Source organism: Homo sapiens, chromosome 7 (assembly GCF_000001405.40).
Source record: "Homo sapiens chromosome 7, GRCh38.p14 Primary Assembly".
In the NCBI taxonomy this organism is placed as follows: Eukaryota; Metazoa; Chordata; class Mammalia; order Primates; family Hominidae; genus Homo; species Homo sapiens.
The window spans coordinates 39,945,730-39,959,598 of NC_000007.14; the positions used below are offsets into that span (position 1 = coordinate 39,945,730).

The 13,869-nt window shown below is 45.1% G+C and overlaps 1 protein-coding gene and 1 long non-coding RNA gene across 6 annotated transcripts in view, besides 12 other annotated features; one reads left to right on the forward strand and one right to left on the reverse strand.

Annotated features, from left to right (window-relative positions):
- Positions 1,021 to 1,315: an enhancer, noted in NCBI's record as "tiled region #5390; HepG2 Activating non-DNase unmatched - State 24:Quies, and K562 Activating DNase matched - State 10:DNaseD". NCBI's record gives its function as "activates a minimal TATA promoter and a strong SV40 promoter by Sharpr-MPRA in HepG2 and K562 cells {active_cell/tissue: HepG2 | K562}" and the evidence as "EXISTENCE:reporter gene assay evidence [ECO:0000049][PMID:27701403]".
- Positions 1,792 to 3,690, reverse strand: CDK13-DT (CDK13 divergent transcript). Its single transcript, NR_158201.1, has one exon. It is a non-coding gene; the product is annotated as a CDK13 divergent transcript (long non-coding RNA).
- Positions 2,765 to 2,954: an enhancer, noted in NCBI's record as "active region_25884". NCBI's record gives its function as "activates an Ori minimal core promoter by ATAC-STARR-seq in GM12878 lymphoblastoid cells {active_cell/tissue: GM12878}" and the evidence as "EXISTENCE:reporter gene assay evidence [ECO:0000049][PMID:35858748]".
- Positions 2,976 to 3,895: an enhancer, noted in NCBI's record as "H3K27ac hESC enhancer chr7:39988304-39989223 (GRCh37/hg19 assembly coordinates)". NCBI's record gives its function as "activates a minimal SCP1, AML or CMV promoter by ChIP-STARR-seq in naive H9 embryonic stem cells {active_cell/tissue: H9 hESC(naive)}" and the evidence as "EXISTENCE:reporter gene assay evidence [ECO:0000049][PMID:30033119]".
- Positions 3,085 to 3,134: an enhancer, noted in NCBI's record as "active region_25885". NCBI's record gives its function as "activates an Ori minimal core promoter by ATAC-STARR-seq in GM12878 lymphoblastoid cells {active_cell/tissue: GM12878}" and the evidence as "EXISTENCE:reporter gene assay evidence [ECO:0000049][PMID:35858748]".
- Positions 3,395 to 3,524: an enhancer, noted in NCBI's record as "active region_25886". NCBI's record gives its function as "activates an Ori minimal core promoter by ATAC-STARR-seq in GM12878 lymphoblastoid cells {active_cell/tissue: GM12878}" and the evidence as "EXISTENCE:reporter gene assay evidence [ECO:0000049][PMID:35858748]".
- Positions 3,595 to 3,844: an enhancer, noted in NCBI's record as "active region_25887". NCBI's record gives its function as "activates an Ori minimal core promoter by ATAC-STARR-seq in GM12878 lymphoblastoid cells {active_cell/tissue: GM12878}" and the evidence as "EXISTENCE:reporter gene assay evidence [ECO:0000049][PMID:35858748]".
- Positions 3,896 to 4,814: an enhancer, noted in NCBI's record as "H3K27ac hESC enhancer chr7:39989224-39990142 (GRCh37/hg19 assembly coordinates)". NCBI's record gives its function as "activates a minimal SCP1, AML or CMV promoter by ChIP-STARR-seq in primed H9 embryonic stem cells {active_cell/tissue: H9 hESC(primed)}" and the evidence as "EXISTENCE:reporter gene assay evidence [ECO:0000049][PMID:30033119]".
- Positions 4,085 to 4,314: a silencer, noted in NCBI's record as "silent region_18114". NCBI's record gives its function as "represses an Ori minimal core promoter by ATAC-STARR-seq in GM12878 lymphoblastoid cells {active_cell/tissue: GM12878}" and the evidence as "EXISTENCE:reporter gene assay evidence [ECO:0000049][PMID:35858748]".
- Positions 4,315 to 4,594: an enhancer, noted in NCBI's record as "active region_25888". NCBI's record gives its function as "activates an Ori minimal core promoter by ATAC-STARR-seq in GM12878 lymphoblastoid cells {active_cell/tissue: GM12878}" and the evidence as "EXISTENCE:reporter gene assay evidence [ECO:0000049][PMID:35858748]".
- The window catches only part of CDK13 (cyclin dependent kinase 13), a 149,325-nt gene continuing 139,982 nt past the window's right edge, over positions 4,527 to 13,869 (forward strand). For 4 of the 5 annotated variants that reach the window (XM_017012750.3, XM_017012751.3, NM_003718.5 and 1 more), the window contains exon 1: positions 4,527 to 6,123. In XM_017012750.3, the coding sequence (XP_016868239.1) occupies positions 4,913 to 6,123 (1,211 nt within the window). In that variant the 5' untranslated portion in view covers positions 4,527 to 4,912. The remainder of the gene's footprint in view (positions 6,124 to 13,869) is intronic. The other variant, NM_031267.3, reaches the window with a different exon arrangement.
- Positions 5,105 to 5,394: a silencer, noted in NCBI's record as "silent region_18115". NCBI's record gives its function as "represses an Ori minimal core promoter by ATAC-STARR-seq in GM12878 lymphoblastoid cells {active_cell/tissue: GM12878}" and the evidence as "EXISTENCE:reporter gene assay evidence [ECO:0000049][PMID:35858748]".
- Positions 5,465 to 5,524: a silencer, noted in NCBI's record as "silent region_18116". NCBI's record gives its function as "represses an Ori minimal core promoter by ATAC-STARR-seq in GM12878 lymphoblastoid cells {active_cell/tissue: GM12878}" and the evidence as "EXISTENCE:reporter gene assay evidence [ECO:0000049][PMID:35858748]".
- Positions 5,735 to 6,653: an enhancer, noted in NCBI's record as "H3K27ac hESC enhancer chr7:39991063-39991981 (GRCh37/hg19 assembly coordinates)". NCBI's record gives its function as "activates a minimal SCP1, AML or CMV promoter by ChIP-STARR-seq in primed H9 embryonic stem cells {active_cell/tissue: H9 hESC(primed)}" and the evidence as "EXISTENCE:reporter gene assay evidence [ECO:0000049][PMID:30033119]".

Here is a 13,869-nt window from a genome sequence, read left to right on the forward strand (position 1 = left end):
TGAGGTCAGGAATTCAAGACCAGCCTGACCAACAGGGTGAAACCCCGTCTCTAAAACAAAAATTAGCCAGGCGTGATGGCGCACATCTGTAATCCCAGCTACTTGGGTGGCTGAGGCAAAAGAATTGCTTGAACCTGGGAGGTGGAGGTTGCAGTGAGCTGAGATCACACCACTGTACTCCAGCTTGGGCAACAGAGACACCCCGTATGAAAAAAAAAAATGTAGTTTGGGGCCAGGACATGAATCTTAAGTTTTTGGAAAAACCAACTCCCCAAAAATCACGAAAATTATTTTAGGACAACATGAAAAATAAGTTTAATGCTAGTACCATCCCTGATCTATTGGTAATGGATGACTGCATCACCGTGTCTGAGGGATTCTGAGGCTACATTTAGGGTGAGCAGGAAGGAGTGCTGCCATTAATTAATGATACCTACCATGGAATGGAATGAGGACATGGGGTCACATGGTAATATTTAGCAACTTAATTTGGCTGTAATATAATTGAAAATAGCAGTGGCTTAAACAAATTATTCCTTTTTTAGTCTAGGGTTGGTTTGAAGGATCCATAATGCCCCCGAGGAGTCACGTCTTTCTATTTTCCTTTCACTTCACCATCCTTAGCCTGTGCTTATTCCTTTGTTGTCATGGGACAGCTGCTCAAACTCCAGTATTGCATTTGAGTTCCAGATGTAGAGAAAAGTAAGAAGTAAGAGTGAGGGGCAGAAGGTACAGGTCAGCGAAACTGACCTTCCTTTTTTTTTTTGAGATGGAGTTTCGCTCTCGTTGCCCAGGGTGGAGTGCAATGGTGCACTCTGGGCTCACCGCAGCCTCTGCAACCTCTGCCTCCCGGGTTCAAGCGATTCTCCTGCCTCAGCCTCCCGAGTAGCTGGGATTACAGGCATGCGCCACCACACTGGGCTAATTTTGCATTTTTAGTAGAGACGGGGTTTCTCCATGTTGGTCATGGCTGGTCTTGAACTCCCGACTTCAGGTGATCTGCCCGCCTCGACCTCCCAAAGTGCTGGAATTATAGGCGTGAGCCACCGGGCCCGGCCCTGACCTTCCATTTTTTAAGAATCATTTCCATAAGCTTCGCCCAACAACTTCCACTTCACTTCATTGGCAGGAGCCAATGATCACGTCTTATCTGCAAGGAATACTGGGAGATGTAGTTTTTAGCTAGGCACATTTACCCCCATCAAACCCAGGATACTGTTACTTAGGTAATCAAGGGAAAATCCATTTAGGAAGACAGCTAGAAGTTTACTCCACCATTACTGTTTTATAAATACGTATCCCTCAGCTTTACTGAACCAGCAAGAATTCCCACTCCCCAGCACATAGAAGCAATATTGCACTTCTGAAAAAAAAGTGCTAACACTGTGGGCCTCTGAACTGCATAAAAGATGAGTCTGGGGCCTGGTGCAGTGGCTCACGCCTGTCATCCCAGCACTTTGGGAGGCCGAGGCGGGCGGATCACCTGAGGTCAGGAGTTTGAGACCAGCCTGCTCAACATGACAAAACCCCGTTTCTACTAAAAATACAAAAAAATTAGCTCGGCATGGTGGCGGGCAACTGTAATCCCAGCTACACGGGAGGCTGAGGCAGGAGAATCGCTTGAACCTGGGGGGCGGAGGTTGCAGTAAGCCAAGATTGCACCCCTGCACTCCAGCCTAGGCGACAAGAGCAAAACTCTGTCTCAAAAAAAACAAAAACAAAAACAAAACAAAACACGAACTCCCCACCCCCCCACACACAAGCAGTAATAAACAAAAATATAGTCGTAAATGGGAATTTCAAATCTCTTTAATATTCAGGCAAGCAGACAGGCTTATAGAAACAGACGGCTTCTAATTCAAAGGTCCTTCCCATTTTTTGGAGTTTGAATCCTATTAGTTATTAGTGTTTCCAACCACGTGGGCAGGTATCTTGAGCTCAAAATGTTCATTCAACCTCCCCCACCAAAGGTAGAATCTTTGAGGAAACGTGGGTGGTAGAACCACAGTAAAAATATTTTAGTACATGTTTTTTGTTTGCACCCTGGATTGGGAACTATCCATTTACTTTTTTTCCCTTCTTCTCCATTTAATACACTTACACATGGGAATTATCCATTTACTATGGATCAAGTTTTCTTTGAAAATATATGATAGAAGATGACATTCTCAAGTGGAACTGGTTGTACACGAGGGGAGCTGCAAGCTAAACCTCTTATTTGCTCTCTTTGTTCTGTTATTCCAGTCTATCTAACGTAGGACGATGGAACAAGTTGATCCTACATGTTTCTGAAAAAGCCACTTGCTAAACAGTCTTTGGTAGGAGGCTGGCTACAGGACCTTCACTCAACAATACTGTCAACCAGAAATTTGTTTTAGGAACCCTGCCCCCTATTTTTCTATTCAGTTTCCCAATGCCCATCCCATGGTGTTGCCCACCCAGGCCTGCCCTCCTGGGAAATGCTCTGACTTTAAGATTACCTATTCCTTTGCCTCCTCCTTTATCCTTCAGCAAACCAACATCCTTTGTACTCGGTCAGTGAAGTCTGATCTTAGCTTAAATCAGGCCAGTCTGTGATACTGTGATGTCAAACTGATTAAAATAATTTACACTAAGGTATTAACGATGGATAGATACCAAGTGTTTAAGAACTAAACCAACTGATGATCTGAACAAATGAATTTTCAAAGGGGTTACTACATTTAGTCATTGAACAGACGGCTTAGCTTTTTCTTTTATTAGAGGCAGGGCCTCGCCCTGCTGATTGGCCAGGCTGGGGTGCTGTGGCACGGTCATGGCTCACTCCAGCCTCGAACTCTTGAGCTCCAGAGATCCTCCTGCCTCAGCCTCCGGAGTAGCTGGGACTACAGGCGTGTGCCACTGCACAGGGTTAGCTTGCGTTTCCAACCATTCTAAAAGCCAATAAGCCATTTACATTTTAATCTAATTATCCCGAGTGCTTAGTCTGTAACTGAAGGGCAATTCTAAGGCAAGAAATGAGATGTGAGGTCACTATATGGCTATGTTTGGCAACCCCAAAGGTTTAGATATGAAGGTGAAAGTGGGTGAAGTACTAAGAGGGCAGTCCTCATTCGCACAAGATGTTTTTATTTCAAGCCTCCTGAGAATTTGGAATTTTCAGTAGTTCCTTTTAACATTCCACTTATTTCCTGTATTGATTTAAAGCTTTAAAAATTTTTATTTTAAAGTAAATAGTGTTACCGAAGCTTGAGCTGTGATTCCCAAGTGTGTTTTTTAGGATAAGAAGGGGCCTCGCGGAAGTTGCGGTGAGCCGAGATCGCACCATTGCACTCCAGCCTGGGCAACGAGAGCGAAACTCAGTCTCAAAAAAAAAAAAAAAAAAAATGGGGCCTCGAACTTTGGCGTACGTGAGACAAGTTAAACCAACGCCATCTCCACCCTGTTTTGCGGGGTGTTTTCTCTCCTTTCGCAGCTGTTCCACTCCCAGGGCTTGACTGAAGGTACACGGGGGGTAACTGCCTACTCCAGAAGGCCACCAACAGCATTATTTCCCTCGCAGTCTCCAGAAACACTTGTTCTCACTGTGACCTTTCGCTCAACAGGCAGGCAGTGCGGCGTCTGCAGAGCCGGAACCGGCACTGCGCGCTGGACGCAAGCAACAAGCACGACAGGCGCGCCACCACGGGCAGAGTCTCAAGCAACAGCAGTGGGCGGCACACGAATCCTCTCCTTTCTTTAACCCTTCTTCACACGGAGTCCCACCCTCGCCGGAAGCCGAGCGGTTTCTACATCATGCCACTTCCGGTGCGGCCTGCCGGCCCCTGGCGGGAGCGAGCACGCCAGTGCGCGGTAACTTTGTTCCCGCCTCTCTTGCCCCGGCCACCTCTCATCTTCGGCTTTCTCTGAGCGTGAATTGCGGGCGCGCTCCCGGTCGTACGTCAGGGCTGAGGGGAAAAGCCGAAAGAGCGAGGCGAGAAGGAGGGGTTGTGGAGGTTAGGGCCCAACCAGCAAGTCCCGTTGCTCTCCCTCCTCCTGACGAGGAGCGGAGAGGGAAGGGGAGGAGCGAGCCGGGGCAGGCCGCGCACACCAGGAGCCTCCTCGTGGAGGGGGGGAGCGGAGGAAAGGGGTAGCTCCGCCACCTCTGCTGGCGGCGGCGGCGGCGGCGAAAGAAGAAGAAAGTCAGGGCCCGTACCTACCGCCACAGACTCAGAAACGCCCCTGCCCCCATCTCCCCGGAAATAGCCCCCCGCCCAGCCCCGCACAGTCGCTGCCCCAACCGAGAGCCGCAGCCCGGTCGCCCCCGCCTCGCCCCGCCCCGCTGCCCAGCCCCGCGGGCCGCAGAGTGCGCGAGGCCCTAGGCCGGGAGTTGTTGTCAGGCCCAGGCCACTTCCGAGGCGCCTGCGGTGTGTCGCCGCCACCACAGGAGGACGACGTCGACGCCGAGGAGGAGGCGGTGGAGGCGTGTTGTTGTCTCGCCCACTCCCCTCCCCTGAACTTGCACCCAACGTCAGGGCGCGATGGAGTGAAGCGGCGACGAAGGTGGTACTTCCGCGTTGCGCTGCCCGAGCCGAGAGCGCGGCCAAGGCCGCTCCCCCACCCCCGGGGGCACTTGGAGGACTCGGGACTCCCCCGCAGGTCAGCGCCCGGCGCATCTGGTGTTTTCGCTGCCGAGGATAGGACGACGAGCGCAATCGGGAGCTCCGCCGCCCGGATTCCTGCTTCCCTGGGGCCCGGAGGCTGCTGCGTACCCCACTGTGACCTGGAACCCAGGGACCCGAGTCCCGACCCGGATTATCGTGGCGCTTTTCCCGGCCGGCTCTGGTGCTCGGTGTCCCTCCGCCGCCGCTCCCGTTTCCGGCGGGGGAGATGGCCAGGATCTGACCCGGGAGGAGGCCGCACCCGCGCCGCGCTCTGCGGCTGGCTCTAGGCGATGCCGAGCAGCTCGGACACGGCGCTGGGGGGAGGCGGGGGCCTGAGCTGGGCGGAGAAGAAGTTGGAGGAACGCCGCAAGCGGAGGCGATTCCTGTCCCCTCAGCAGCCGCCGCTGCTGTTGCCGCTCCTGCAGCCGCAGCTCCTGCAACCGCCGCCGCCCCCGCCGCCTCTGCTCTTCCTGGCTGCTCCCGGCACGGCCGCCGCCGCAGCCGCCGCCGCCGCGGCCTCCTCCTCTTGCTTCAGCCCGGGCCCCCCTCTGGAGGTCAAGCGGCTGGCGAGAGGCAAGAGGCGCGCAGGAGGGCGGCAGAAGCGGCGTCGCGGGCCCCGCGCCGGGCAGGAGGCGGAGAAGCGTCGGGTCTTCTCGCTGCCCCAGCCGCAGCAGGACGGCGGTGGCGGTGCTAGTAGCGGCGGGGGTGTGACCCCGCTGGTGGAATACGAGGATGTGAGCTCCCAGTCCGAGCAGGGGCTGCTGCTGGGGGGGGCCAGCGCGGCAACGGCGGCGACGGCTGCCGGGGGAACGGGGGGCAGCGGCGGGAGTCCGGCCTCCTCCTCCGGCACCCAGCGGCGCGGGGAGGGGTCGGAGCGCAGGCCCCGCCGGGACCGCCGCAGCAGCAGTGGCCGCAGCAAGGAGCGCCACCGCGAGCACCGGCGGCGGGATGGGCAGCGCGGTGGCAGCGAGGCCTCCAAGTCCCGCAGCCGCCACAGCCACAGCGGCGAGGAACGGGCCGAGGTCGCCAAGAGCGGCAGCAGCAGCAGCAGCGGCGGCCGCCGGAAAAGCGCTTCGGCCACATCCAGCAGCAGTAGCAGCCGCAAGGACCGGGACTCGAAGGCCCACCGCAGCCGGACTAAGTCGTCCAAGGAGCCGCCTTCGGCCTACAAGGAACCGCCCAAGGCCTACCGGGAGGACAAGACCGAGCCTAAGGCCTACAGGCGGCGGCGGTCCCTCAGCCCACTGGGAGGCCGGGACGACAGCCCGGTGTCCCACAGGGCCTCTCAGAGCCTGAGGAGCCGCAAGTCCCCCAGCCCGGCAGGAGGTGGCAGCAGCCCCTATTCTCGGCGGCTGCCGCGCTCCCCGAGCCCCTACAGTCGCCGCCGCTCCCCCAGCTACAGCCGCCACAGCTCCTACGAGCGGGGCGGCGACGTGTCCCCTAGTCCCTACAGCAGCAGCAGCTGGCGCCGCTCTCGCAGTCCCTACAGCCCTGTGCTCAGGTGAGTTCTGCCGTTCTGCCTGTGTGTGCCTTGGCTGCGCTGGCCAGATCCCCAGGAGGAAGGGAAAGTGGTGCCCGGGTCCTCAGAACGACTCAGGTCCACCACCGAGACGAGACAACACCGCCTGAGCCTCCCAGGAAGGATAGGCGTTTTCGCGCGCGTGACACTTTTTTAGGGGGTCGAAGGGACAAAGCAACTGGGCGAAGGGAACTTTTCTCCTAGCTGTGGCAGGGAAGATTTCTAAGGAAGAATTAAAAGTTTCAGACTTGTTGCATTAATGTGTTAACAGGTTTCTCTCAGTTGCTCTTTGCTTTTCTGGTACAATTTGGGTAAACCTAGAGGTGGTTTAAGTCTTAATTTTGAAAGTTCTGTGAAGAGGTTTCATTGTTGGGAATTTAGGAATGGACTGCAACTTAAGATCTAGTATTGTACAGGGGAATAAGAATCAGGTACTGATGTCAGAGTTAGATGTGGATTGCAGATGTTTCTTATGATTATTACAGAAATGGGAGAAGCAGCCTTTCTGTAAAGTTTATTCTTTTAGTATGTTAAAAAAGCTTAGGTGGAAGCCGATAGTTCTGAATACTGAAGTTAAAAAAGGTATCTATTTAGTGATATTCTTGTGTGGGATAGTTTTTACCTGATCTTTCAAAGTCATAATTATAGAAGGTAGAAAAAATGACAAGACTGTGGTTTCTTTGTTGGTTTGTGATGACACCCAGTTGCTAATAACATTATAAATCTGGGTGGTGTAACCTAGTGTAACCAAGTGAATGGCTGAGTACATTCTTATACTATTATAAGCCTGTAACTGCTTACTTTAAAAGCTAAGTAGACTTTTTCTTAGATATATACCCGAAGGATAAAAACACAATATAACTAGACCTTTAAATATCAGGATCTTTGTCCAGAAATCTTTAAAAGGTGTAATTTAATTTAATGAAATTGGAGTAAAACTTTTCTGTAGCTTTCTTGCCTTTTTTGTTATATAATATTCTTTTTAAAAAGTGTGCCTTAAAATATACTTATCCACTAAGCAAAGTGCATTAAAAACAACTTTCGAGTATTTTATGGGTTCTTATATTCCTTGAGATGTTTGGACATTCCAGACCTTATAGTGTAGAGTATTGCAAAATGACATTTGTATCAGTTTTTCCTCCTGGGTTTCAGTAATGGCAAGTGGATGTACAGTACCTCTAAGTATGGGTTATGTGGAATCTCAACATAATACGAATATGCATCTGCAAAATTAGCAGACCTTTTTGAAGTATCACCATAATAAATGTAAAGGTGTGATGTTTATAGAGATCTGAGCGTGAGTTTGTCTTTAAGCCAAAAAAGTTCTATAAATTGCTTCACTCTTAAAGAGTGTTGAAGCATACTTAAAATGTTAGTTGATACCTTAGCGAAGAATTGAAAAACTCATTCATCAAAATTAGCCATTGTATCTTGTAAGACTTTGTATGTTACTTTTAACTATAATACTTTGCCAAAGGGTTTGCAGTTTTTGCAGTTGAATTTGTTTTGCAAACTGGTTGGTTGAAGTTTCAGCACTTGAACAATTTAAAGTGCTTGATGCAATTTTAAGAATGGATTTTGTACTTATCAGGTTTTTTAGTTGCTGGATACTTCAGCGAGATCCTTTATTGTATAATAGTGGTATGTATTTTTTATATACATATATGAAATATATAATCGTGGTATGTATGACTAGGACTATTCATATTTAGCAAGTATTTTTTGACCCTGTATTGTATGCCATATACTGTTTTAGGTATTGGGATGTAGCAGGAAAGAAAAAGTTACTTGCCCTCATAGAGCTTGCATTCTGGAGGACCGTTCAACACATAATCTTTTCATGGTGTTTACATTGACCACCAGTATTTCTAAAGAGTTGAATTTGGAAGGAACTTTAGGGTGTCTTGGCTAACATTGCTGACAGATGGCCATTTGGTATGTGCCTGAAATACATCTAGAGGTGGGAAGCACGTTAGTTAGAGGCAACCTGTTCACTAGATTTGGGACTTGAGTGTTTTAGCAAGATCCTTGAAGACTCAGTTTCCTAAACTGTAACAGGGAAACACTTGTTTTTCTGGATTATTTCAAGGATTAAGTGAAAATTTATCTTTTTAAAGCATGCAGCCTTACAGAAATATTTAAGGTCGTTGAATTATTCAATATCCCAAATTGTTAGAATTCTTCATATTGTGACCAAAATCCACCTTCGAACCATTGCTCCAAGTTTAACCCTTTGGAATGGTACAGAGCACACGTGTATGCTAACCCTTTAAAATATAAAGACAGTTGTCATGATTTCTGAGTCTTCTAGACTAAAAAACTCATACGGTTTTCAGATTTTTCACATTATATCTAGTTTGTCAAATGTCCAGCTTAAAACATAGGGCCTAGAATTAATAGCTAAAATAGTTGATTGGAAAAATCTAAAGATTTTAAAATATAATAAGTGTATTGTTACTTTTTAGGAACGGTTAATTGAACTCACTTGTACAGATTAATGGAAAAGTTTTATTTATTTTCAGAATTTATTACTTGTGGTAAGTGGCCCATGTTCTTTAATGAATGGACTGCTGTGAGTTCCATGAAGGCAACTGGGCTGTCTTATCCATCATTGTATTTCTAGTGCTCAGCACTGTATCTGGCACAAGTACACTCTTAATAAATGTTGAATAGGTGTAAATGAAGGGATGCTGGAGTTTACTGAACATACAAAATATTAATGTGGGCTTTGTATTACAAACTTCATTCAAAATATTTAATACAGACCATGTGTAATGCTGTAAGAAACAGTGTAATATTTCCCCAGCCTATGCAGAACTTACATATTAATGAATTGTCAGCGTAGATATTTTCAAGGAAATGCATACACATTCAAAATAGTATTGAAATCGTGGTATGAAGATGAAAAACAATTTTAAATAAGCTGAAAATAGAGATAGGGTTTCACCATGTTGCCCAGGCTGGTGTCAAACTCCTGGGCTCAAATGATCCACCTGCTGCATCAGCCTCCCAAAGTCCAGGGATTACAGGTGTGAGCCACCACATCCAGCCTGAAGCTTTTTTTGATGTCAGATAAATAAATCCTTTTCATTTTAGTGATTTCCACTTCACAACTTGTTCTTTGTCTTCATTTGAATCTTCAGTCCTCGGCTCATGCATTTCTTTTCATCAGTTCCCTCTTAGCTTTACTTTTTCCCCTGTATAATCTGTTTGCCGTATTTTCTTTACTACTTGACTGTTGGGGTGTGGAAGGTCACGTAATCTTGCTGACTGGCCCTATAATAAATGTGAGGGTGTGCTGAAAAGAGGGGAGGGTACCGTTTGTAGTGTTTTACTGTGTGCCAGGCATTGATAAATATTTAACATATATTGACCACCAAAATCCATGTGATAGTTGGAAACATTCCCATTGATGGATTGGGAAACGGGAGCTCTAAAAGGTTTTAAGCGATTTGTTCCAAGGTCAGCTTGGATTCAAACCCTAGGCTGATTTGAAAGTACATGCTCTTAATATTAAAGAGCATGGATTTTGGTTACAATATGAAGGTGGATTTTGGTTACAATATGAAGAATTCTAACAGCAGTCTATTCATTAAAGAACATGGGCCACTTACCACTTAAAGCATATGCTTTATTGAAATTTAGTTGGCATTCAGGGGCGCTGGCCACCTCACATAATGACCTGTTTTGGTGAAAAATCAGCTTCTGCTTGGGTATTTATGTGTTGGTTTCTGTTCCTTGGCCATTTTATCAGCATTTTGAAGATTTTAAAAGATGAATCTTCTAAAGATTCTTTCAGCTTATTTGTGTTTATTTGTAGTTTTTATGAACAATTGGGTTTAAATCTTGTGGATGTTTTTCCTACTTTGTCTTTACAAAGATTGGCTAAAAACATTTCTTGAAGACATTAATTACTCTTAGTTATTGGTGGTGGTTTTCCAGAATTATTTTGATCTGAAGTTACTGATGTCAGATTAAAATCCGTGCAAGAAATTATTATGTGTGTTTTGTTCTTTCTCTAAACCTATGGAAGTTCCATTCCACCAAGAAGCACAGAAGCATTCATTATGGAATAATAAGAACCTAAGAATCTGAAAAAGATGGGTGGACTCTAAATATAAATAAGAAAAATTATTGTTATATGTGGTACCTCTGTAATGGATTATTTAGTGTTTTGTCCTGAAAACTATAGTTCAAAAGTATATGAAATGAAGATATTCCGTAATGAAAAAAAAACTCAAAAAATATGCCACTGATTTAATATATACTTAATAGAAATAAGTCATGAAAATCCCTAGGTGAATGGAATTCTTAAAATGCTTTTAAAAAGTGTCAAAAAATAGGATACTAGAACAAATGGAGAAACTCTCAGAAGGGAATGGAAGTTTAGGTTAACTGTCTTAAATTTCCAAAGCTGTAATCATTATTTTCATTCTCAAAGTGATGGCCTTGTGTTTTGCTCCTTCTCTGACCAAACTTCACCTGACATTTACATCTACTCAGTCCTTATCACATTTCTTTTCCGCTAACGCTAATATTTATTTCTTTCCATTTCTATCACCATTTCAGGTTAATTAGCTAGACTTCATGTTACTGTGAACATTCTTCTCGTTTCATCCATTCTTCTCAGTTCATTCTGTATCAGGAGAGTTTTCTTAATATCTTTGTTTAGCTCATGTCACTCCCATTATATTAGAATTATTATTAGAATAAACCTAAACTTTTTTTTTTAGGGATAGTGTCTAGGTCACTTGCCCACCCTGGAGTGCAGTGATGATGTGATCATGGCTCACAGCAGCTTCGAACTCCTGGGCCCAGAGGATCCTCCTGCTTCAGCCTCCCGAGTAGCTGGGATTACAGGTGCATGCCACCATGCCTGGCTAATTTTTGTGTTTTTTGTAGTGATGGGTTTTACCATGTTGCTCTGACTTGTCTTGAACTCCTGGCCTCAGACAATCCTCCCGCCTGGGCCTCCCAAAGTGTTGGGATTACAGGCAAGAGCAGCTGTGCATGGCCAAGTCTAAACTTCCTAATGTTCCATCAGTTAATGCCTTTTATGATCTGGCTCCATTCTATCACAGTTCTGTTTTCAAAGACATTTTTATTTCTATTTTTATACTTGCTGTTCTGTTAGCTTAAATGATAAGAGACACTCCAAACTCTCTTTTGCTCTTCATCTCCAGCTTTGCATTTAAAACTCAGCTCAAAAATCCCACTGTCGTGTGTGTGTGTGTGTGTGTGTGTGTGTGTGTGTGTGTGTGTTTTGGTAGAGATGGTGTTTTACTGTGTTGCTCAGGCTGGTCTCCTGGGGTTGAACAATCCTCCTGTCCTTGCCTCCCAAAGTGTTGGGATTACAGGCATGAGCCAGTGTGTCCAGCCTTAAATCCCACTATCTTGAGACCTTTTTCCATTCATCTAGATAAAAGTTAGTTTTTTTTCCTGTGCCCCCACAGCACTTTATCTTTGTTGTAGAGTTTTAAAAAATTCTGTTTAATATCTGCTTAGTTGGCTGGCTGCCTTTGTGTTTTCCCTACTAGATTGTAAGCTCCTAGAGGACAAATTACAGAGCTTATTTATTGGTGGTTTAATTTAAATACATTTTTTCTCTACAGATTAGTGCAAACCAGTCTGCACAGATGCGAGTTATATCTGTAAACTTGCTTGGTATTTTGGTTTACATACACTCTCATACTCTAGGATAGGGCAGGTAATTGTTTCGATTTATAAGGAGGGAATTTAAGAACCTCCTTCTAGCTTCTACTTTATTAGAATGAGTAGAGGATGCTGGGAGTCACTTTAGTGTGAATGGAATAAATTCAGACCTAGTGTTTATATTTGCCCTCTGTTGTGCTGATCAAGATAAATTCTTGGTGCGTTTGAATTAATCTTTAAAGAGAAAATTTTCTGAGCAGACATTATGTCAAACTTATTTCCCAACTCTGAAAAATTGTAGCTATTTTTGAAAAACCAGTTGGAAGTGAATGTTGCTTAATATTCACATATAAGATAATTTTAATTTTTTCCTTTATTTTGGACTTTTTTTGTGTGAATATCATTTTGTTGTTGTTATTTTGGTTTTGGTTGGCTTTGTTTTCTATAAATTTATAAGCTTTGAAGTGGGTGTTGGAAGCAAAAGTACCAAGCTAAAATCAGAAGCATTACTTGTTTGCAGTGATTTTGTTCCTTGAATTCCTGCACATTTAAATTGTGGAAGAACCTAGTGTTTTTTATGTATTTGGAAAGTAAAATTGATGTACATTAGAGGATAAATATAGGTAAAACTGGAATGTAAGTAAAATGGAAATGAGGTTAGTGAGAGGAACCGAAAATGGTAAATGATCTACACGCCTCCCTGCTTTTCTGTTTGCATTTTCAGTTGCATAGGGGCACTTTCACTGGGATATTTTATTGGCATTCCAAACTCAATTTACCTAACATTAAATTATTTCACCTTTCTTAGAGTCATTTTTTTTCTGTTACTGCTCTTTATTATTTTTCACCTGTTTGCAAGCATAATAGAGGCTAATGGTAGAAATTTTCCGTTAGTATAGAAAAGTATAAGAGATTAAAAGGCCCCTTAGGTCCAGCTACCTGATGAGATGATCACTCATGACATTTTGATAAATATTTTTCTAGACTTTTTTATGCATATATGCACAGGGATGTATGATTTTTCCATAAGCGGGAACATGTAACAATGCTGTCTTGTAGCCTGTACTCCACAGTACAGCATACCATTTTTATTAGTAGCTCCTAGTATTCTGTTGTATGGATATAGCATAAATTGTTTGGCTGAATCCACTTTGATAAATTCTTAGTTTTGTTTTTTTTTTAATTTTTGCTATGTGTGTATATCTAAAGCAAATTTTTTTTTGTGTATTTGTTCCATTATCTTTAGATTGAATTTCCTGGGGATAAAATTTTTGAGGCAAAGGTGGTATATACATTTGTAACATTGATACACTTTCAAAATGCCTTTCAGAAGGCTTTTACAAATTTACATTTCCCAACAGTGTGGAATTACCCATTTCCTGAGTCTCACCAACACTTGGAGTTGTCACATATTCCATTATTGGTTTTTTTTGTTGTTTTGTATTTTTAGTAGAGATGGGGTTTTGCCATGTTGGCCAGGCTGATCTTGAACTCCTGACCTCAAATGATCTGCCCACCTTGGCCTTCCAAAGTGCTGGGATTATAGTTGTGAGCCCCTATTGGTGCCTGGCACCATTATCGTTTCATTCATTTGCATTTCTTTGATATTTAATAAGGTTTAATATATTTTCATCTGTTTACTGGATATTTTAATTTCTTTCTTTTTTTTTTTTTGCTCTTGTTGCCCAGGCTGGAATGGTGCGATCTCGGCTCACCGCAACCTCTGCCTCCCGGGTTCAAGCGATTCTCCTTCTTCAGCCTTCCGAGTAGCTGGGATTACAGGCATGCGCCACCATGCCCAGCTAATTTTGTATTTTTAGTAGAGACGAGGTTTTTCCATGTTGGTCAGACTGGTCTCGAACTCCTGGCCTCAGGTGATCCACCCGCTTCAGCCTCCCAGAGTGCTGGGATTACAGGCGTGAGCCACCGTGCCTGGCCTTTTTCTTTCTTTTTTTTTTTTAATTGAGACCGGGTCTCACTCTGTCACCCAGGCTGGAGTGCAGTGGCACCATCTGCTCACTGCAACCTCCACCTCCCAGCTCAAGTGATCTCTCACCTCAGCCTCCCGAGTAGCTG